This window comes from Homo sapiens, chromosome 5 (genome assembly GCF_000001405.40).
Source record: "Homo sapiens chromosome 5, GRCh38.p14 Primary Assembly".
Classification (NCBI taxonomy): Eukaryota; Metazoa; Chordata; class Mammalia; order Primates; family Hominidae; genus Homo; species Homo sapiens.
Genome location: NC_000005.10, coordinates 176,134,023 through 176,157,786, shown reverse-complemented (window position 1 = coordinate 176,157,786; position 23,764 = coordinate 176,134,023). Strand labels below are relative to the sequence as shown.

At 43.3% G+C, this 23,764-nt stretch overlaps 1 pseudogene across 1 annotated transcript in view, besides 4 other annotated features; it reads left to right on the top strand.

The window, feature by feature from the left end:
- Window positions 1-14,702, top strand: part of CEP192P1 (CEP192 pseudogene 1) — a 56,211-nt pseudogene extending 41,509 nt beyond the window's left edge. Inside the window, exons 18-26 of the transcript NR_036494.1 lie at window positions 798-925; window positions 2,155-3,036; window positions 9,649-9,773; window positions 9,917-10,101; window positions 10,221-10,248; window positions 10,682-10,821; window positions 11,580-11,698; window positions 12,592-12,762; window positions 14,161-14,702. The product of NR_036494.1 is annotated as a CEP192 pseudogene 1 (transcript). The remainder of the gene's footprint in view (window positions 1-797; window positions 926-2,154; window positions 3,037-9,648; window positions 9,774-9,916; window positions 10,102-10,220; window positions 10,249-10,681; window positions 10,822-11,579; window positions 11,699-12,591; window positions 12,763-14,160) is intronic.
- Window positions 3,485-4,467: an enhancer, noted in NCBI's record as "H3K27ac-H3K4me1 hESC enhancer chr5:175580323-175581305 (GRCh37/hg19 assembly coordinates)". NCBI's record gives its function as "activates a minimal SCP1, AML or CMV promoter by ChIP-STARR-seq in primed H9 embryonic stem cells {active_cell/tissue: H9 hESC(primed)}" and the evidence as "EXISTENCE:reporter gene assay evidence [ECO:0000049][PMID:30033119]".
- Window positions 4,468-5,452: an enhancer, noted in NCBI's record as "H3K27ac-H3K4me1 hESC enhancer chr5:175579338-175580322 (GRCh37/hg19 assembly coordinates)". NCBI's record gives its function as "activates a minimal SCP1, AML or CMV promoter by ChIP-STARR-seq in naive H9 embryonic stem cells {active_cell/tissue: H9 hESC(naive)}" and the evidence as "EXISTENCE:reporter gene assay evidence [ECO:0000049][PMID:30033119]".
- Window positions 4,967-5,261: a silencer, noted in NCBI's record as "tiled region #4969; K562 Repressive DNase matched - State 8:EnhW". NCBI's record gives its function as "represses a minimal TATA promoter and a strong SV40 promoter by Sharpr-MPRA in K562 cells {active_cell/tissue: K562}" and the evidence as "EXISTENCE:reporter gene assay evidence [ECO:0000049][PMID:27701403]".
- Window positions 22,827-23,121: a silencer, noted in NCBI's record as "tiled region #12759; HepG2 Repressive non-DNase unmatched - State 20:ReprD". NCBI's record gives its function as "represses a minimal TATA promoter and a strong SV40 promoter by Sharpr-MPRA in HepG2 cells {active_cell/tissue: HepG2}" and the evidence as "EXISTENCE:reporter gene assay evidence [ECO:0000049][PMID:27701403]".

The following is a 23,764-nucleotide window of genomic DNA, read 5'->3' as shown; positions in this document are numbered from 1 at the left end:
TGGGCTGGATGGCTTCAGGATAAAGGCTGTTTGCCAGAAAAACCAATCATGTAATTCGGGGGTTGGAATTTTCACCCTCCCAATCTCTGGGGAGAGGAAGGGGGCTAGAATTGAGCCCAGTCACATGGCCAATGATTTAAGCAATTACACCTATAAAATGAAACCTAGATAAAAACTCAGCAATAAGGCTTGGAGAGCTTCCTGGTTGGTGAATCTATTGATGTGCTAGACAGACAGACCAGTTGGAGAGGGCACAGAAGCTCTGTACCCTGGACCCCTCCAGACCTTGCTGCCCTGAGTATCTCTTCACCTGGCTCTTCATTTGTATCCTTTATAACAAACTGTCATTGTAACTATAAAAAAAGAGAAACAGATATTTGTACATTTTGGATAGGGTGTATATTCATGTGGGCTGTGTCAGTCTTTTAGGTTGGAATATTTAAGTGTTTTATAGTTCAGACAAAATTTCAAATATACTAGTATAGGGAGAATTGCTCAGAAATCGTACCTTTCATCAGAGTTCTAGTGGAAATGTACCTTTCTATGTCTTAGCATTTTTTTCTTTATTTCTCAGTCTCAATTATTGACTTGTTTTCATGAGCACAGCTGGCTTGTCTGCCATAAAAGAGATATTTTCATTTGGGGAAATGGATTTTTCTTTTTCCAACACATTTTGGGCAGATTTCAGTGCTGTTGGTAATTAAGGCAGTCATCTAGATAAAACAATTATGTGAGAATGTCGTATCATTTTAGTTGTTACATGTGTCAATGGATAGTTTTGGAATTCTGTTTTTTAGAAATGAATCTCACACAGAATGTGGTCTATGGAAATGAAGAGGGCAGAGGGGTCATGGACCTTGCCTGTCACACATCTTTTACGAGCAAACAAAATGTGATGAGATGACTGAAGACTTGAGATCTGGTTGTAAGTATATGATGAGCACATTTGTTGTATGGTTTTCATTGTTTCTGATGGTGTTTCTGAGGTTGCCCTACTCAGCCACATCAGATCCCTTTGGGACTATCATTGTATTCTGGAAGCTCTTCAGTTACTTTCATAGGAACCAAGGTTTGAGTGAGCTGGTCTTCATCACGGCAGAAGCCGAACCATTTGTTGAAGCAAAGCCAATGAGTGAGAAGAGCAGTCTTCTACTTCTGTGTAGACCCCATAGTATTGCAGGGCTGGAAGGGACTTTAGGCTTTGCTTGTCCACCTTAAAAATTCTGTCCTGAGCAAAAGAAATGTTCTGGTAAATGAGTCATTATAAACAGCAGCCCATTTTAGAGTAAAGGCTAAGAAGTGTGATAGAAGTGATGGAAGAAAAGTGACAAAAAAGATAAATGAAACCTGAAGGGATAAGAGCATGAAAGGAAGCAGTTAGGCTGCTGATCAGCATAATCTTGACAGTGAAAGTACAACCTGTCTTAGGTCTGCAGAACGGCGGGTCATGGCGTTTTGAGCTTTAGCCTGTGAAGATGCTGTGCCACCAACCGCAGGGCCTGGGCTCCTCTATAACTGGAAGGAGCCACAGTGCTCCTTGGCCTGCCAAGCCCAGCCTTATTGTGAATAGGCTCAGAAGGGGCCATAGGAGAAATTATTCTACCCACCGCTAGTACTAGGCTCTCCCAAATGTCCAGTGCTGTGGAATGACCGCGATAAGTCATGCGTTATTAGAGCCACATGCATTTAGACACAGGAAAGGGACGGGTCCACATGAGAGTTAACATCTTTGGCTCTTCAAGCACAGGCAGCAGCAGGGACAGAGGAAGGGCGGGGCCCTGCGAGCCGGCTGCGCCTCCAACCCCCACTCTGCCTCGTGACTAATGTATTTAGATTTTCATTATAAAGTTTACACAAGTCCCTCACATTTTCAAAAACTTACTTGACTCTGGTCCTTTATGTAAATTTCAGATATGACTGGTGTATACCTCCTGTTTATTTTCCTCATATTCTATGTTTTACAAAGCGACAAACATAAATTTTCTAATAGCCTGCATTTCCCGTTGCAAAATAACTCCTTTGTGTATACCACATCTAATTCAGAAAGATAACCCGTGTAGATTCCTTTATTACATTACCCGAGTTTATATCAGCATGACTTGAATTTGTTGTATTCAGTTTATCTGATTATTTTTAAAATTTTGTCACACTCAGAGTGATACCACCAATGAGATGAGCACCACAGTTATTCAAGCCAGCCCAGCCCTGTCCGAGGAATAGGCTGTGGAAAAATTGAGAGAATTTCCATTTCAGAATATAGGAAAAGGAACATAAAGGAACATTACCATCTATGATCCCAAACGACTGATATGAAAAAATGACTGCAACTACTTCTCTGAGTAGCAAGCCTAAAGATGTAAAACCTAACCTTAGATCAAGTGAAGATCCTTCCTCCAAAAGTGGAGATCTGTTGGAACCCAGTGAGGTGGATTGGACGTCAGACCTCAAGAAAGTGGACCGGATCGGGCTGGCTCTCCTGAGCAAGTCAGGTCTGAGTCGTCAGACGGGGTCAGCTGCTCACACCTCCCTGTGTCCTGCCAGGAGACTGTAGATGATGATCAAAGAATCATCACTAAAGCTACGTCAACTGCAAGTTGTGAGCTCAGAGGCCGGGACCTGTTCCCAGCGGAACCATTCATGGCTCTGCAGCTGAGACGCAGAACATGGGGCTGCGGTGCCTGCACTCTTGATGTCACCCCTCCCAGCACAGCTTCCTTCAGCCAGAGGTATTGAAGAACACTCCCTTCAGCTGGAAGTGTCGCCCTGCCTCAGTGCCAGGCTGGCAGGGCCATAGCCTGTGGCTTCTCAGGAGGCCATCCCTATCCAGCTGTCACGGGAGAGCATGTGCAGAACTCTGTGGCTGTGGAATTTGGGACCAAATACCGGCTCTGGATGGATGGGCACCTCTTCCATCTGCGACCCATATTCTGATGCCTCACATCGGAACCTGCTAAGCACAGCGAAGCCTTTTCCTGTGCATTCTATTGGTACAAACTGGAAAGAAACCACGAGATTCAGGAATGACATCAGTACTGGGTGAGATGCTTTTGCTGTGTTACTGTTGTTGTTATTTCCTAGTTGAATTTTTTCAAATGACCCCACAAAGCTCGTTTGTTTCAAGGAGTTACTGGTTGGCCTTAGTTTCTTGTAAGTTTTGTGCTTTGTCCTAAACTAAGACCACCACAATATATTTCTGTGCAAGGTTCCTGAAGATGGCTTAGAACACACTTAGCACCTATACAGGTGACAGGCTGCCTGCGGCTTCGTCTTCCTTACCTCTCTTTTGCTCTGTTGTTGCAGTTTTGTGATTATTTCAGCTAGGAAATGTCCAGTTTAGAGTTGAATCCTGGAGTGAGCGAGTGCTTCCAGCTTGTGAGTTTCTGGGTGTCTGTGGTGGAGAGGCAGCACTCAGGTGCGTCCGTGAGGCAGCTTCTCTCTTGCTGATGGTCATGTGCCCCCATAGCTGGGCTCGTTGCTTTTCCTGACATGGTACACATGCTACTGGGGTGCTGTCTTGTCTGCCCTCCAGAGCAGCTGCGTGAGGATGGGGCAAAGATGGGTGGTAGTATTAGAATCGGCTGGGCTTTACATCTGGAAAGTCAGAGCCTTTATGGTTTTCTTTGAGGTTAAGCGGTGGCTTATGATCTGTGAGAGAAAAAAGGAAGACATGACAGTAACATGAAATAATTCAGTGCCTATAATGGTGAGTGTGATCTAATCTTCATTGTTTTTCCTGGACTGGATGGAAGCAGGAAGAAAATGTTGGCAGGCCTCTGCTGAGGCTCAGGCAGTGGCAGGGAGTCCTGCATCTGGAGCGCTTTGAACTGTGGCTCTGGGCTACAAACAGGCCGTCCCGTAGACTCATTGCCATTGAACCGATTGACCTATTAGTCAGGGGTCTGGTGTCACTGGCATCGTTGACTGTGCCTTATTCTCACCGGGGAGTATCTGCCTGAGGAGTGGAAGCTTCCTTCTGCCTGCGGTGTTGGGACGGCTTCCCAGACCCGCCTTCATGTCCTCAATGCAGCCGACCCCTGGCTGCAAGTCAGCATCGGGGTCCTGAGATCAGTGTCAGTGAGGAAAAGACAGCTTTCTAGGGCGCTCTCCGTTGATGTAACAGTTGCACTGGGAGTCAGTGCTGGATTTCTCCTTTCTCGGGGCCAGGCTCTCCCACCCCTTTCCCCGCACACTGGCGTTGCCCTGGAATCTTCTCCTCAGGCCCCATTTTGTTGTAGTGCTTATAATGTACAGTGAAATCTGAATGTTTTGTTTTTTTCTGTCATTATTTATATTTCATTGTTACTTATTTATAAAATTATACAAATTTGTTTGTAGCACTATTACTACAATCACTGAAAGCTCAGAGATCCTGGTCGCTCTACTTGTTAATTTTGTAAAATGGGACTGAATATAAGTTACTGTCATTTATCAAAAGAGAGAAGGAGAGAACCAAGTTAATCTTGGGGCTATGCCTTCATTTGGTAACGGGAGTCTTTTTGACCAACTTATCTGATGACTTTCTTACGTAAGATTTTGAAATAGCTGGAAATGCAGTTTTAACATGAACTCTGGCAAGGGTCTCTCACCTGCTCAGTTGTAGCTGCTGTAACTCTAGACTCCACATCTCCTTTCCTGGTTACAAGGACCATTTGAATGGCAGGGAGTGGGGAGGGGAATAGGGTCAGCAGCTCCTGTTTTTCAGTGTCCTGGTTTTGTGATTGCTACTTGCAAACTAGCATTGGTGGATGGGTTTAGTCTTCCCGCATGCCTCTTAGTGACCCTTGTTTACCTGGTAAAATAAGATGCCCTCCCCCTCCCCTTTCCTGGCTTTTCCCCTCTGCTTTCAGATCCTCAGCTTAGGTGAAAAGCAGGTGATTGAAGGAAAGGGTTGAGGGTGAAAAGTGGGCTGTGAAGACTTTTTAGGGACACCCAGGAGTCTGTGAATGAAGCGGTGCTGTCTTTGGCAGTGGGGAGTAGAAGAGAAGATCCCCATTGAGAGAGACAAGGGAGAGGTGGCCAGAGTTGTGTCATCACAGTCGGGGTGGGGTGGAGCTGTGGGACCTCAGCGATTAGCCTGTCTGTCCCCACCACGCTGTGTATTGATGTTTCTCATTCACCTTTTCTTTTTTTTCCCAGAAACTACTAGTTAACTTTGTCAGCTGTTAAGATATATTTCTTCGTTTCTTCTCCAGGCCCATGAATTCTGGGCCCTCAAATCATAAGTGAACATCAGCTTACAGTCAGAGCTCTCTTGTCAAGAGTACTGAGCTTGCTTGTGTGACCCTTGGTTAAAGCACACTCTGCTCTGAGGCACACGTGGCGTATCCCCCTGCCTGGGTTACGGAATTCTTTTGTGTGCTCAATCAGCTGTTAAGGCCTTACAGAAGAAAAGAGTCCCGCCTGCAGCAGTGGGAATGCCTGTGCCTGGACTGCTTGCCCGCAGCTTCCCTGGGCTGGCTCCTGGGAATTCCCAGACTTCTTATAAACAGTGTTCCGGGAGCACCACGGCTGCTCCCACCCCCTGTGCAGATGGCATTGTGATCGTCTCTCTCCCTGTCTATATCCTTCTCTGGAGCATAAGCTCTAAGTGTGGGAATATGGTATCCTTAGCACCTAGCTCTGTCTTTTGGACAAATAAAATATGTAGAAAATCGTTACCAAAATAATTAGATCAAGGACCTTCAATTTGGATTGCTTTCTCTGCTAGCATCTGGAAAATATTTGTGCAGCCATTTGGGCCTCAGTGTGAAGTGGTGTTAAAAGGTGAAGTCCATTCTAGCTAGCATTTGGCTACCTCTGCCGCTCTCCCTGTTACTGTGGGGAGTCCGGTTATGAAGGTGATAACTTGTAAACGAGTCTTTGTCCTACTTGGCAGCTTTCTCCCCAGCCCCCATTTCCCCCTTCATGGTCAGAGTGTGGGATGGAGACAGATGGGTTGGTTCCGTCATCTAGGATGTTCAGCTGATGTTGGTGTCTCCTGTGAGCTTAGCAGGACTCTTCTGGCAGGTGCAGAGCTCTTACATGTACTTAGCTCGGGTTTAATTTCTCTGTAGTTCAAATCTTCTGAATCATTACTCATATTTTTGTTTGCTTAGCCTTTCAGCTTCTGAGAGATGGTTGTAGATCTGAAATTTCTCCTACAAGGAGAATTATACATCCTATCATTTCTTTTGTGGGTGTCACACAGCTATATTGTTACATATGTTTAGGTTTAGGATTGTTTTGCCTTCTGTGTGGAATGATTCATTTTTAAGTAATTCTTGGTCAGACATAGCGACCCATAGCGATGTAATTCCAGCACTTAGGGAGGCCAGGAGCTTTAGACCAGCCTGAGCAACCCAGTGAGACTCTGTCTCTAAAAAAACGTTTGAAAAATCAGCCAGGCGTGGTGGCCCCGGAGGTCCAGGCTGCAGTGAGCTAGCATCGTGCTGCTGCGCTCCAGCACTGGCGACAGAGCGAGGGTCTGAGCCTAAACAAACTTTAAAAGTAATAAAATAAAGAAACAGGCCGGGCGCGGCGGCTCACGCCTGTAATCCCAGCACTTTGGGAGGCCGAGGCGGGTGGATCACGAGGTCAGGAGATCGAGACCATCCTGGCTAACACGGTGAAACCCCGTCTCTAGTAAAAATACCCCAAATTAGCCAGGCATGGTGGTGGGTGCCTGTAGTCCCAGCTACTTGGGAGGCCGAGGCAGGAGAATGGCGTGAACCCGGGAGGCAGAGCTTGCAGTGAGCCGAGATCGCGCCACTGCACTCCAGCCTGGGCGACAGAGCGAGACCCCGTCTCAAAAAATAAATAAATAAAATAAAATAAAGAAATAAAAATTCTCTTTACCCCTTTTGTCTTAGAGCCAATTTTGTCTGGTGTTAATATTGTGCATCATCTTTCTTTTCTTTTTTCTTTTTTTTTTGAGACAGAGTTTCCTCTTGTTGCCCAGGATGGAGTGCAATGGCACAATCTCACTCACTACAACCTCCACCTCCCGGGTTCAAGAGAGTCTCCTGCCTCAGCCTCACAAGTAGCTGGGATTACAGGCGTGTGCCACCACGCCCGGCTAATTTTGTATTTTTATTAGAAACGGGGTTTCACCATGTTGGTCAGGCTGGTCTCGAACTCCTGACATCAAGTGATCCACCCGCCTGAGCCTCCCAAAGTGCTGGGATTACAGGCGTGAGCCACTGCGCCCGGCCCATCTGTTATTTTCTTCACGAGTTTCCTTGTGTATCTATTTCCATCATTTTGTTTGCAGTTTTTAACATATACTTTAGTTGACTATACCTTAAAAATTTAGCCAAAATTTTTCCTTTTGTTTCTTCCTTCCTTTTCTGCCTCCTCTTGGATTATATTTTCCTTTGTCCTTCCTTTGCATTACTTTGGACATTATGTGTTTCTATTTCTGCGCACTTCATATTGCTTACTCAAATCTAAGGTGAATCAAGAGCTCTGTTCTATTTTCAAACAACACAGTCAGCTTTCTTCATTTAAATGCTCATCTTTTCCTTCCATATTACCTTTGACCAATATTTTAGTTCTAAATGGCTTTTGAAACCCCAACATTAAAAAAGTTTTACAATAGCAAAGACTTGGAACCAACCTAAATGTCCAACAACAATAGACTGGATTGAGAAAATGTGGCACATACACACCATGGAATACTATGCAGCCATAAAAAATGATGAGTTCATGTCCTTTGTAGGGACATGGATGAAACTGGAAACCATCATTCTCAGCAAACTATCGCAAGGACAAAAAACCAAACACCGCATGTTCTCACTCATAGGTGGGAATTGAAACAATGAGAACACATGGACACAGGAAGGGGAACATCACACACCGGGGACTGTTGTGGGGTGGGGGGAGGGGGGAGGGATAGCATTAGGAGATATACCTAATGCTAAATGACGAGTTAACGGGTGCAGCACACCAACATGGCACATGTATACATATGTAACAAACCTGCATGTTGTGCACATGTACCCTAAAACTTAAAGTATAATAATAATAAAATAAAAAAATAAAAAAGTCTATTAAAACAATTTTACAGATTGATGGAGCTATTTGAACTTGTTCATGCTCAGCATCGCTTCATGAATCTTCTACTTTTTCCTCTGTTGTAGACTTTATGATCTGTATTTGAAACGAACCGTTGTGTAGTTGATTTCAGATTTCTGTTTCTTGAGGCACTAATGTTTCCACCAGTTACTTTTGTTGAATCTTCCTGACTTTCTTTGAGTGGATTCCATTTTTTTGGTATTTAAAAATGTTTCATGCAAGTTCACATTGATTGAGGCTGCTTTTCTGCTTTAGGAATCCCATGTGTCCTGCTTTTTGGAAATGTCCCTAGAGGATACTTTGCAGAAATGCTGGAGGCACTGAAAGCCTTCGTGATTTTTAGCCTGGGGCTCCCATGCCTGGTGGGGCCTTGGCCCAGGCCTTCATGTTCCTGTTAACAACCTTCGATGCCACCCACCTCTGGACAGGTTCCTTGTTATCCCCACAGACATGCGATCAGACTTTTTTTCAGTTTTCTTTTTATTTCTAGAAAGAATGCTTCTTTGACTTTCTGGGCTTTATGTATAGAATTCAAATTTCATTTTAGCCTCTCCCTGTCCACAACAAGAAGTCACACCACAACAAGCTTGAAGTCACATCGATTGTTCTCTGGAAGGTATTAAAGCTTTACCTCCTTGAGGGTCAATCTGGACCCCAGACTTTTCTGAGCCACTGTGGAAGTCAGCTCCCTCTTGCCAGGCGGCCTTTGATTTCCCTTTATTTTATGGTTGTATAAGGCAAAGAAAAATGTGTGTGTGTTAAATATATTCAGCCCTGTGTATCTGTGGGTCCTGCATCCTCACATTCTACCAAGCTTGAATCAAAAATATCCACATCCCTTCATAAAAAAGCTGGTTGCATTTGTACTGAACATGTACAAGCATTTCTTCCTTGTTACTGTTCTCTACACGGTAATGTATAACAACTATTTACGTAGCATTTACACTCTATTAAGCATTGTGAATAATCTAGGAATGATTTGAAGTATGAAGGAGAATGTGCCTAGGCTGCAGGCAGGTACTGTGCCATTTCATGTCAGGGACTTGCCCAGATTGTGGTGTCCAGTGGCGTTCCCACGTCTTCAAATATTTCCATATGTGGGGGTCTCAGGGTCTCAGTTATGTTGGTCACCCCTGATTAAGGAAGTCAGTTCTTCATGATCATAGGCACTTTTTGGAAGCTTTAAATACGTCTATTTTGATATATTTTAAACATTTTTAAATAAAATCGGAAAATGCGAAGATACTAGTGGTATTTTTGAAAAGAATGGAGAAGTCATTATTCTAAGAGTAGGACTCATTGTTAAAACTTTCTAATAATAGAGGGGAGGTCTATGTAATTTATACAATTGTCACTTCATCTCAAGATTAAATAGCCTTTTCCAGGAGGCAGCAGCTTAATTCTCTGGTCCATTTGGGTATATAGATGACCTCAAAAAAAGAATTTAATATTTATCTTTGTAGAAAATAAGCAATTGGAAAGTTCTCCTTAATCCTGACTCTTAATTTATGGCTAGAAATGGCATTGATATGAACATAAGGAGTGCTATTTATTAATATATTGCTTTTCATAAATCAGTTCCTTTTTTGTAATTAGGTAGAAACAGAACAGAAAGCCATTCTTGATTTTGGTGACTGGAGTTGTGGAGGCTGGAAGTCTCTGCCAATAAAAGCACTGAACTGGACACACACCACTTACCAATCAAGTTGATTCTCAATGTTGTGAGTATGAATGTACAGGAAAAAATGCTGTTCACAGAATACATTCTATGAACTGAACTATTTTTGTTAAAGATTTTGTTAACACAGTTCATGTTCTTATTGCTATTGGCTTTACTGACACTGAGTCTTCTCTTTCGGAACAGAGCACCGTGGCCTGGCAAGATCGGACGTTTTCCGAGGAACCCGGCTGAGCTCCTGTGAGAGCTGCTCCCTGCACTGATGTGGTCCCTTGGCTGGCAGGCTGCTCTGTGATCAACCAGGTGACACCTGCCTGTTATGAGGGACAGGTAGGAGAGGATGGGCTTTCCATCAAAACAAACAAAAAAAAGTAAGTTTTTCAAACTCCTTTTCTTTCATTCAGATTTCCTCTTAATACTAGTATATATTAATTTTTAAATTTTTATTTCATAAGGTCCAGAATTTCTGATAATATCACTTCTTTTCCAGAGTCCCAAGAAGGAACTCGGCTCTTCAGGTATGATGTTTATGTTTTCTGGGAATTGCTTTTCTGTGTATCTAAATAGACTACAAATTTGAGACTGATTTCCTCTGTCAGTACATGTGAATACTTCCAGTCATCTGTCAAGTATCTTCTGTTGTTCTGACAATGAGGCAGATGCCTGCTGTTTTGGGTCAAACCTAGGTGAATGTGCATGACCACAGCAAGTACCACTGAGGACCTATTGGGATATTTTCTCTAAATTGATCTCATCTCATTTACCAGTTGGATGTGCTCTTGCTTTCTCTGCTTCTCCACTCATTTCCAGTCCTATTTTAATTCTTTAAAAAATCTTCTTGCCTACATTTTTCTGTGGCCCCTAAGGACATTGTGTTGGACTGCTGATGGCGTGTACAATTCAATAAGTGTCTGGTCTCTGAACTAAAAGAACAACCCTTTTGAATTTTAGAGATTCAGGACTCAGGAGAAGACTTCGTAGTGAGAGTTGACGTAGAAGTTGACAGCCCAAACCCCACACCAGTTCTTAGAAGTATTGATCTCCAAGAAAGAGCAGAAAGAGCTACAACTCCTGCTCCCAGGGACTTACAGGTACCCTCAGTCCTCCCCTCTGCCTTCATTGTCTTGCATTCGGACTGATGTCGCTTTCATGGTGACAGATTGTTGAAAGGTTTGTCTCACTCCATCTTCTAGATGATGCATTTGGTGGCCGTCGTGGCTCCATCCACAAAACAGACCTTACCTCTGAGAAACGCTGGGAAAGTTGTAGGTTATTTAGATATCAACCTATGAATTATTGTCAAAGAACCATAAAGTAGTCTTTCCTGAGACTGTGAGGGTTCCCTGCCTTCTGAGGGTCCCGGTGCTGCCTGCCCCTTCAGGGTGTCCTGAGGACCAGATGATGGAATCACTGAGAGTTTTAAACACTGGCTGTTTCTCTAGTGTGAAGTGTATGCTATGGTGCTCTCAGTGTAGACTCCAATGTCTTGAATGTGAAAAGCAAGTTCTAGATTGATTTCTGAAAAATGTGCATGTCAGCTTGTCGCTGGAATTGGGGAAGAGTCACCCACACACTTTGACCTCTTTTCTGAGACCCAAAGGTGAGTGAGAGTATGTTAGTGACAGGAAATCGGGGGTGCAGTTTGTGGGACATCAGGTTTGTTATGGAAGAAAAAGAAGAAAAAGAGGCGCTTTCCAAGAGAGCAGGATGAGTTGAGACTCTGATGGACTGGGAGAAAGGGAAAAATAACCTCTCTTGGTAAATGAGAAAGGAATGTAAGGCAGGAGTCACTGAGTGAAAGCTGCCTTTTTGTAAGTCCGCATTTAATTATTATTCTGTCACTGTTTAGGTCCCAGAATGAGAAAGTCCCTCTTTAGTGGATCTAGAGAATCTATTCGTTAAACCTGGAGAAGAACATGAGGTTATAGTTTCTTTTTCTCCAAGGGATCCCAAAGTTTGGGAGGAAAGGTAACATAAATATGTTTATAATGACAAGTTTTACTCATCTCTCAAAACAGCCACTCTCTTGGAGGTGCTTCAAAATCCACCATCTGAATGACAAAGTCCACATCTTACTTTTGCTTATAGATGTTATGAATCTGTGTAAACTCTTTCATTTAGCTTCAGATTTTCTTTCTTTTACTGAGAATCTCCTTTGAAACCAGCTGAATAGATATTAAGGAATCATTATTTTTAAGTATATTCTGACAAAAGTAAATAATGAACAAAAATTTTTATTTTTCTCATTCACTTTTCTTATTCTCCCAGAAACTATTTGTTGATTTTGTCAGCTGTTGAGCTATATTTCTTCATTTCTTCTATAGGCCCATGAATTCTGGGCTTTCAAATCCTAAGTGAATATCAACTTAGAGCCAGAGTTCCCCTGTCAAGAGTACCAAGCTTTGCTTGTGTGACCCTTGCTTAAAGGGCACTCTCCTCTGAGACACACATGGCTTATCCCCCTACCTGGGTTACAGAACTCTTTCGTTTGTTTAGTCTGCTATTAGGATCTTAGGGAAGAATAGAAGAGTCCTGCCTGCACCAGTGTGAATGCCTGTGCCTGGAATGCTTGTCCTCAGCTTCCCTGGGCTGGCTCCTTCTGGGAAGCTTTCCTCCACTCTTCCCAGATTTCCCATGAATAGCATGCTTGTAGCACCATGGCCGCTCACATCCCCTGTGCAGATGGCATTGCGATCGTCTCTCTCCTTGCCTATATTCTTCTCTGGAGTACAGGCGCTAAGGGTGGGAATAACATTGTATCCTCAGCACCTAGGTAGGTCTTTTGGACACAGGCGATATAGAAAATAGTTGACAAAAGAATTGAATTCAGAATCTTCAACTCAGATTTCTGTCTCTGTTAGGATCTAAAAAATGTTTGTGCAGCCATTTGGACCTCAGTATGAAGTGGTGTTAAAAGGTGAAGTCCATTCTTCAGGAAGTAAACCTCTGCCACGTGGATCATGCTCAGACATCCTATTGAAGTTTGTCCAACAATTTCTTGCTTTGGAAGGTGTCTCTCTTGGTGGAACACAGTAAGTGTCAAAGATGGGCAAATAGTCAATCCACTGTTTATACATGTATTGGAGAAGATCCCAAATTAATGTTTGGAGGACAATTTTGTTGTAACAGACAGTGTTGAGGCTCAGTTGTACAGAACTGGAAAAGCCTTTAGATGTGCATGTGTCTAGATTCAGCCTTTGTTTAACATATATTCCAATCCTGATCCTGCCTTCACCAGCTGCAAAGTACCTGACATGTGACCACAGCACAGGAGCTGCTGAAGAGGGAGTATTATCACCTCAAACTCACAGCCACCTGGTATTTTCAAGAGCCAGCCAAGAGAGATATTTACAGAGAGCTGTGGAGAGAACATGCAGTCCATCCAGGCATCTCATTCAGCTAAATTTCTCAGTCTGTCACCCCGTGGTTTTAGCAGACACCGCAGAAGTGGTTTTGATGCTCCAGCCTTGGGTGTCACACTGTGCCCATACCAAATGGAGCACCTCAAAAGGAGCAGACCCTAAGAAATGGGATTTAGTATTTACTGTAAAATTAGGTTTTTGAGACTCCCCATATTATACAGATTCATCTCTAAAGGTCTCAACTTTCTCTTTTAATACAAGGCAGAGAGGCATAGACCACAGCTTAAATAATTTATTAGCTGCTGATTTTCCCCAAATTTGAATAAGACCCTTCTTTTAACAGACAAAATGTGGGTGAGATGGCAACATAACTCACAAAAAACTGGTGCCTCTTCTTTTTTGAGGTGGTTATGGGCTTGTGGAACTCAGCTGGTCATACTCACCTTATAAGTGGATTGGAAGGTGTATGTGGGATCATCTTTATCCTCTGGGATGTATCCTCACCAAATTGGACTGTCTTCCATCTAACTGAGAAACTGTAAAGACTCATTATAGAAGCCATCTGCTTCCACCAGATGGCTATACCTTCTTCACAGGCAGCCACGATCAATGTTGAGCTGCAAGTTGAGGCCTTGGCCGAGCACACGGCTGCAGTTTTGAGTAATACACACCATGCCCTTACCCTCCTGAGGACACCTCTCAGATTAGGCAGGTGGCCTTACCAAACCGCATGGCAAAGCCATTTTAACTGCAGCTCAAGAGGGAACTTGTGCTTTGATCAAAACCAAATGTTGCAGCATGTTTGAGACTATTCACATAATATTACCCAGGCTAAGAAAGCTTTAGACACTCATATCTCTGCCATTGATGCACTGTCAGTCAACTCCATATCGGCTTGGTCCCGACAACTGCCCAGTCTTTGGAAAGCCTTCCTGTTAGTTTACCTGGGATAATTTTACTTATTTTGCTTTGATGTTGTTGAGTATATGATGGTTGTACTCTTCGTATAGGAACACAAGATAAGCTTACTCGATACTTTCTTAAATTGGACACTTATTAATCTTCCAGGTTTCACCTTTTGCTGGAACTCAGAGCTACAAATGATGCTTAATGTACCAATGCCTTCTGACTGAACTCCTCTCTGCCCTGAATACAAGAGACCCTAATAGTTATGTGGAAATATCATCGCCCCGTTCAGCATGAAGAAGTTACAAAAGATGGACCTTCATCCTTCTGCAACCCTTAGGATTAAGGGTCCTCTTGTAAAAGGGAGGGGAAATATGTAAGAAGCATTCAAACCAGAGCGACTCCATTTTGAACAAGGGCTAAGAAAAATGAAGCTGGGTCCTGTTGGGCTGCATGCCCAGGAGGTTAAGCATTCTTAGCCTCAAGATGTTTACAATTGAGGGAACAGATTAATAATGTTTCCTAAACAGACTCAGGACTTAACAGACTCAGGAACGTCTTGATACTTTGAGAACAAAAGCACTTCTAGTTTTAAATACGCATTGTACCTAGGCTGGATGCTTTTCTTACTTTTGGAAATGCCCTACCCTGTCTATGGAGTCACTATTCATTCCCTCCTTTATTAAAGTTGCTTCTATTTTGCACTGTGGACTTGCTCCAAATTCTTCCTTGCATGAGATCCAAGAACCCTCTCTTGGGGTCTGGATTCGGACCCCTTTCTGGTAACAGGTGGATCTACCATTCTGGGGTCTGGAGGATGGTAGCCCTCTTCTTACAGCTCCACTAGGCAGTGCCCCAGTGGGGACTTTATATGGAGGCTCTAACCCCACGTCTCCCCACCACACCATCCTAGTTAGAGGTTCTCTGGGTTTTGTATAAATTTTCTGAAATCTAGGCGGAGGTTCCTAAGCCTCACTGTACACCTGCAGGCTTAACACCATGTGGAAGTTGCCAAGGCTTACAGTTTGCACCCTCGGAAGCAGCAGCCCAAGTTGTACCTTGGCCACTGTTAGCCATGGCTGGAGCTGGAGTGGCCAAAGTGCAGGGCATCATGTATTGAGGCTGCACAGAGCAGGAGGTCCCTGAGCCTGGCCCATAAGACCTTTCAGTCTTCCTGGGCCTCCAGGCCTATGTTGAGAGAGACTGTCATGGAGGTCTCTGAAATGCTTCTGAGGCTGTTTTTTCATTGTCTTGTCAATTAGCAATTGACTCCTTTTTACCTGGGCAAATTTTTGCAACTTGCTTTTAATACCTCCCCCTGAAAATGGATTTTTCTTATCTACTGCATGGCCAGATTGCAAAGTTTTCAAATGTTGAAGCTCTGCTTCTCTTTCAAATATAAGTTTCAGTTTCAAGTCATTTCTTTACTCAGGCATATGAGCATAGGCTTTTAGAAGCAGTTAGGTCAAATCTTGAATGCTTTGCTGCTTAGAAATTTCTTCCACAAGATACCCTAAATCACCTCTCTCAAGTTCAATGTTCCACTGATTCTTACAGCAGGAGCACAATGCCGCCAGTCTCTTTGTTGAAGCATATGAGAGTGACCTTTACTCCAGTTCCCAATAAGGTTTTTATCTCCATATGAAACCTACTCAGCCTGGACTTCATTGTCCATATCACTAATCTGCATTTTGGTCACAACTATTTAACAAGTCTCTAGGAAGTTCAAATTTTTCCCTAATCTTCCTGTCTCCTGAGCCTTCCAAACCCTCACAAGCTGCAGATGATTACCAGTTCCAAAGCTGCTTCCATATTTTAAGGTGTCTTCAAAACTGTCCCACTCTGAGTACCAATTTTTGGTACTAGTTCATTCTTGCATTGTTATAAAGAAATGCCTGAGACTGGTTAATTTCCAAAGAAAAGAGGTTTAATTGGCTCATGGTTCCATAGGTTGTACAGGAAGCATGGCAGCATCTGCTCAGCTTCAATTATGGTGGAAGGCAAAGGGGAAACTGGCACATCACATGGCTGGAGCAGGAGGAGTGGGGGTAGGCACTACACACTTTTAAACATGATCTCATGATAACTTGCTATTGCCATGGAAACACCAAGGGGGATGGTGTTAAACCATGAGAAACTGCCCCCATGACCCAATCGCCTCCCAAGAGGCCCCATCTCCAACACTGGGGATTATAGTTGAACATGAGATTTGGGCAGAGACAGAGTTCCAAACCATATGACTCCATGAGCATTAAATATATGCAGAAAAAAGCATTTGACAGATTCAACATCTATTAGTGATGAAAACTATCAACAAATTAGGTCTATAAAGAATGTGCAACTACACAATATAAAGCCACATATGACAGAGCCACAGCTAGCATCATCATCAACGGAGAAAGAAGATCCAGAACAAGACAAGGATGCCCTCTCGCCACTTCAATTCAGTATAGTACTGGAGGTGTTAGAACAACTAGGCAGCAGAAACAAAAGACATCCAAATTGGAAAGAAAAACGTTGAGTTGTCCATTTGCAGATGACATGATTTTTTGTTTCTTGAGACAGTCTCTTGTCACCCAGACTGGAATGCAGTGGCATGATCATGGCTTACTGCAGCCCCCACCTCCCTGCCTCAAGTGATCCTCCTGCCTCAACCTCCCGAGTAGCTGGAACTAAAGGCATATGCCACCACACACGGCTTTAAAATTTTTTTTTTTAAGACGTTGTCCATGTTGCCCAGGCTGGTCTCAAACTCATGAGCTCAAGCTCCATGACATTGATCTGGGCAATGACATTTTGGATTTTACTCTAAAAACACAGACAACAAAAGCAAAAATAGACAAATGAGATGACAGCAAAGTGAGAAGCTTCTGCACAGCAAAGGATACAGTGAACAGAGTGGAGAGAAAACCTACAGGATGGGAGAAAATATTTGCAAACCACACATCTAACAAGGGGCTACTATCCAAAAAATATACAGAATTCAGACAACTCAATAGCAAGAAACAAAGAAATTGGAGGCTGGGCGTGGTGGCTCAAGCCTGTAATCCCAGCACTTTGGGAGGCCGAGGTGGGTGGATCACGAGGTCGAGAGATCAAGACCATCCTGGCTAACATGGTGAAATCCCATCCTACTAAAACAACAAAAATTAGCTGGGTGTGGTGGTGGGCACATGTAGTCCCAGGTACTTGGGAGGCTGAGGCAGGAGAAATGCTTGAACCCGGGAGGCAGAGTTTGCAGTGAGCCGAGATTGCACCACTGCACTCCAGCCTGGCAACAGAGCAAGACTCCGTCTCAAAAACAAACAAACAAACAAATAAGCAAAAAACAACTGAAAATGGGCAAAGGACTTGAATAGTCATTTCTCAAAAGAAGACATACAAATGACCAACTGGTGTCTGAAAAAAATGCTCAAATCACTAATCAGGGAAATGCAAATCAAAACCACAAGATATTTCCTCACATCTTTCAGAATGACTGTTACCAAAAACACAAGAGATAAGTGTTGGTGAGGCTGTGGAGAAAAGGGCACTTTGCACATTTTTGGGAATGTGATTAGTACAGCCATTATGGAATACAGTATGGAGGTTCCTCAGAAAATTAAAAATAGAACTACCATGTGATCCAGCAATTTAATTCTGGGTATATATCCAAAAGAAATGAAATCGGTACTTCTGCACTCCCATGTTCATTTCACCATTATTCACTATAGCCAAGATACGGAATCTTGGCTAAGTGCCTAAGTGCCCATCAACGGATGAATGGATTAAAAATGTGGTAAATATACACAGTGGAGTACTATTCAGCCATAAAATGAGGGAAATCCTGTCATTTGTGACAACATGGATGAACCTGTGGGCCGTTATGCTAAGTGAAATGAACCAGATGCACAAAGACAAATACCACATATTCTCACTTATATGTGGAAGCTAAAATGATAGAACTTAAAGAAACAGAGAGTAGAATTATGGTGACCAGAGGCTGGGGTGGCTGAGATTGGGGAGGGCAGCATATATGTTAATCAAAGGATATAAAATTTCAGTTGGATAGAAGGAATAAATTTAGTAGATCTAACCTACTACACAATTACACTTAATCACTTATTATACTCTTAAGAAATGCTTGAGAGTAGGTGTTAAGTGTTTCAATCACAAAAATGATCAAAGTGAGTGATAATACATATGTTAATTAGCTAGATGTAGTCATTCCACAATGTATATATGCTTCAAAACATAATGTTCTACACGGTAAATACATACAACTTAAATCTTTTTTTGCATTAAAAAGAAAGGAATATTTCCTTATTTTTCTTCCCAGCCTACTGAAAGATGGGATGGGTAACAATCTGAGTTGTTAAAAAAAAGCTCCATTATATAGATAGGACACCAAATGTTTGCCTTGCCTTTCCTCTCAGCCTTGGGCCATAGGAAGCCAGTTAGTAACAGTCTATCCGGAGTTCCTGATGTAGGGAGATTAAAATATTTCATAATCTTTCAAGTTTCATCAGAATTCATTTTCTAAATTTTAGTTTAGGTTAAAATTCTTCCATAAAGATTAAAGACCCTAAAGAAATCAAGCCCCATGCTTTTATTTTACACAATGTAGCATTTTGATGAAATTTCCTGTACAATAAATGTCATGGTATATGGGTAGGTGATTGGATGGTTTCAATTATCACTATTAACTGTTATTCACCAAGTCCTACTAATATTTCCTTTATGTTTAATGCATTTAAAGAAAAATAACTTTGTTCTGAGCAGAAGACAGTTAGCTTTGCTTCACTACTTAAAATTAAGCTGCATCATTTTTACCTATGTAGATTTTGTACACTGTGTTCAGACATAGGACCATATAAAATTATATTTGAGCCATTATATAAAGTAAGACATTATTGTTCATCTAATAGAAATCTCTAATAGAAAATAACAGAAACATATTGTTGGATTATACATATCTCCTAGAAAATGCCTATACCACTATATTCTGAATGAGCTAAAATAATAAAGATTCATAACTCTATATAATGTCCAGATAGTCTTGTTTTGACTTCCTAATTTATTTGCTTTCATATTCCTTGATTTTATTGCTCTTTGCATATACCCTGGAATAAGTACAGTATATTTCATTTTGATTTTTAAAGAGAAGCTTATACTTTTTGTGCTATAAAATCCAGTAACGTCCAGTTTCCAAGCTATGACATTTTTATGAGTAATTTTTGATATTTAATCAGATTTGACATTTGAGAGTTTAATTTTATGAGCATGGAAGTGACAGAAATCATATTATTTCTGATAGTAAATTCTTATAGACATTCCTTCAATGTTATTTATTAAATCTAAAAAGCACTTATTTAAAAATCTGAGACTAGGTGCAAGAATAGCTAAAATCTCTTATACAGTTATTAATATTTTCTTAGAAAATGGTATGTTTGGAATAATACTATAATACATTATTTCATTGTATACATTAAAATTTAACTGTGTTTATTTGTCTTTTTTCTGCTATAGAACTTAACTCCAAGAAAAAGTATTTGTTTTCTTTTTTAAGTTCTGGAAATGCTTTAATTGGACCTTTAATGTTAAATATCCATTTCAGTGAACAGATTCCATAGTACTGGACATAATAAAAATTTTTAAAAACTTAGTTGTTGGCCGGGTGCGGTGGCTCACGCCTGTAATCCCAGCACTTTGGGAGGCCAAGGCGGGAGGATCATGAGGTCAGGAGATCGAGACCATCCTGGCTAACACGGTGAAACCCCGTCTCTACTAAAAGTACAAAAAATGAGCTGGGCGTGGTGGTGGGCGCCTGTAGTCCCAGCTACTCGGGAGGCTGAGGCAGGAGAATGGCGTGAACCCAGGAGGTGGAGGTTGCAGTGAGCCGAGATTGCGCCACTGCACTCCAGCCTGGGTGACAGAGCGAGACTCCATCTCAAAAAAACAAAACAAAACAAAACAAAACAGAACAAAACAAAAAAACTTACTTTTTTAAAATTTAACTTTTAAGTTCAGGGGTACATGTGTAGGTTTGTTATATAGGTAAATTGTGTCACAGGGGTTTGTTGTACAGATTATGTCATCACCCAGGTATTAAGCCTAGTACCCATTAGTTATTTTTCCTGATCCTCTTCCTCCTCTCACCCTCCACCCTCTGATAAATTATTCCAATTTTATAAAGGATAAAATTTACCTGGTTTAAAAGTTTTGTGTTCAAGAGTTGTTTAGGACTTGTGTGCCTAACACAATAGTTACTTGTAGTGGGATTTTTAAGGAATCAGAGAGATTGATGGGGTTCAGGAGGATATTTATTAATTATTTAGGTGCACTGGCCCAGTCAGATTAATATTCAAAGGACTGGGATTATAGATTTGAGCCATCGTGCCCGGCCCTAAACTTTTTAATCATACAAGTTTTATGCTCTGTACAGTTCCTCCTGTTTCCACTTAATTTTACCTACTTAGCCAAATGCCCAGTAGTCATTTTATCCTTTGGATGTTTCGGGTAATCTCTCACCTTCTTCCAATTCTTTTTTGTTCATTAACTTTTTTCCACAGGGTCTTTAAATATATATGTGTCTCTGTACTTAATACTTCAGCTCCTCAGTCAACAAACTGTTCTTCAGTTCTTTTCCCTGTGACAAAATACATGCATTTCATATTTACAATCTGGCAAGTATAATTTCGTTTATACATTAGCCTATTTACAATTGATATTGTACAATCAAACTCCATTTAACACCATTTGATATTGAATTGCAGTAGTTTAAATGGGCAAACTTATTTGATCATATTAAATTTGAGTGCATACTTATTTTATGAAATTTGAACACTCCTTAAAATAGAGAATAATATCACATTTTAATTTGAAAACATCAATAGTTACTGAAAGCATTTTAACTATGAAAATATGTGTGTAACAGTTGCAAAGGCATGGAATCAATCTAAATGCCCATCGATGGTAGACTGGATAAATAAAACGTGGCACATATACACCATGAAATACCATGCAGCCATAAAAAAGAACCAGATCATGTTCTCTGCAGGAACATGGATGGAGCTGGAGGTCATTATCCTTAGCAAACTAACATAGGAACAGAAAACCAAATACTGCATGTTCTCATTTACAAGTGGGAACTAAATGATGAGAATATATGAACACATAGAGGGGAACAACACACACTGGGGCCTATCAGAGAGTGGAGGGTGGGAGGAGGGAGAGGAGCAGGAAAAATAACTATTGGGTACTAGGCTTAGTATCTGGGTGACAAAATAATCTGTACAACAAACCCCTGTGACATGATTTCACCTGTGTAACAAACCTGCACATGTGCCCCTGAACTTAAGATGAAAGTTAAAATAAATAAATAGGCCGGGCGCAGTGGCTCACATCTGTAATCCCAGCACTTTGGGAGGCCAAGGTGGATGGATCACGAGGTCAGGAGATCGAGACCATCCTGGCTAACACGGTGAAACCCCGTCTCTACTAAAAATACAAAAAATTAGCCAGGCGTGGTGGCACACGCCTGTAGTCCCAGCTACTCGGGAGGCTGAGGCAGGAGAATGGCGTGAACCTGGGAGGCAGAGCTTGCAGTGAGCCAAGATTGTGCCACTGCACTCCAGCCTGGGCGACAGAGTGAGACTCCGTCTCAAAAAATAAATAAATAAATAAATTAAATTAAATAAAAAATAAATAAATAAAAGAAAGTCTGACTAAACTAAAACGTGTATAAACAGCCTCCCAAAGTGCTGGGATTCCAGGCATGAGCCACCTTGCCCGGCCAGCTAGCATAATATTTTTACATAATTTTTTGCTGGTAGAATTTTCACATGGCATTATGACAGTAGCACTTTCCTTGTGTAGGTATTTAAGATTGTGTGCTGAAAAATTAATAGCATAAACATACTTTAAATTAGATAGAGATGACTAAGGGGTGTCAAGAAAGGGAGGCAGAGCCCGGGGTGCAGGCCCTCCTCTCCTTGGGGACAAGAAGAAGTCAGGGCCAGGCCTCCTGGGCAGTTGCAGGCTGGCACGTCTGCCTTGCACCCCACCTGGCCCCAAATTCCCCTTGTGGGACCTCAGGAGGGGCCCCGCTTCTACTCTGCTGGATGAGGAGTTCTTTCCTGCTGCCTGATGTTCTGGATCCTGAGCCCACACCCAGGCCCTGGCAGGGCTGAGTCTCCTCTCCCTGCAGCCCCCAAGGCCAGCAGGCCCCAGGCTTCAACTCTGTCCTCTACTGGACGACCCTCTGGTCAGGTTCCTGGACGTGCACGTGGGAAAAGATATACATCCATGGGCATGTGTGTCCACATATGTGGAGACAGGTGTGTGCATGTGTGCAAGTGTGCAGGGTGCACCCATGTAAGATCCCCTACAGACGTTTTTCTCAGGATAAGGCTGTATCCCCCCATGGTGTCAGGTCTCCACTCAAGCTCCCCAAGGGTGGGGTGGAGAGACAGGGGAGAAGTGGTTCAGATTCTGGGAACTGCCATCTCAGATGGGCCTCGAGGCCGTCACAGAGCTGAGCTAGACATTCAGCTTGTGCACGTCAGCCAAGGTCTGGCCAGAGTGGTCCCTGGGAAGTGTGGGGAGGGGGCTATTCAGACCCACCCGCTTACCTCTTCATTCTCCTGAAAGACAGTCACAGGAGCTTGTTTGCCACCAAAAGTTCCACGCACCCCTCGCCCCCAGCCTCTCCCTCCTTATCAGTTCCCTTCCCTGGGTATAGGCGTGAGGGTGCAGCCTGGGTATCTGCTAGCCACAGAGACGGGACCCGTCTGCACCCTGGGGAGCTCCCTGTGGCCAACTGCAGGTTTGTCAGCCCCTGACGAGGGTGGGTGGCAGGCAGCACCTGGTCCCTAGGTCCAGGTTAGCTCTCCTGGGCTGGCTGCCCCTGCTCCCAGGCTCCCCCCACCACCTCCCCCTCAGCAGGCCGGCTCTGGACATAGCGGTTGGCTGAGTCTGAGCCAGACCCTGTCTTGGCAGCTCTCCATCCTGCCTGCGAGGGCGACTTCACTTTGACTTCAAATCTGCAGACTGATGTGCAGATTGCAGATTCAGCCCTGAGCCCCACCAGGTTCCAGGTTCCTGGTTTCTGGACGTGCACGTGGGACACAGCAAGGACACGAGCAGCTGGCCCGGGGGCACCCCAGGCTCAGGTTCCTAGGCCCTCCCACCCCAAGGCCGCATGGGCTTCCCTTCCTCCATCCCTCTGTGCCTAGATGCAGGCCGGACCTCAAGAGGCAGCTAGGGGATGGGGAGAGAACAGAGGACTTTCCCCACAAAGGCCCAAAACCCACTTCCAACCTCAGCCCACAACCCCCCAGCGCAGGCCCCCTGGCTTCTCCTTGTGAGGTGAATATGTTCATGGCTATCATTTATTTGGGGGAAACTAGAGTCTTTGGGGCTCCAGTTCCTCTCTGTTGCGCGCTCTCCTCTGCTGCCCGCTCTCCTCTGCCGCCCGCTCTCCTCTGCCGCCCGCTCTCCTCTGCCGCCCGCTCTCCTCTGCCGCCCGCTCTCCTCTGCCGCCCGCTCTCCTCTGCCGCCCGCTCTCCTCTGCCGCCCGCTCTCCTCTGCCGCCCGTCCCACATCCTAAGAGTGCGCTTGTGTAGAGGGGGGGAAGGGCGCCCACCCTTACAGCTTCCCCCGTGAGGCTGAAAGGTGCCCAATTCTCCCATAGACCCGATGTATACAGCTTCCTTGAATAAACAGAGAAATCGATCCTGTTACTCTTAAAGAAAGTTACATTTGTTTCATCTGAGTTCCCTGAAAC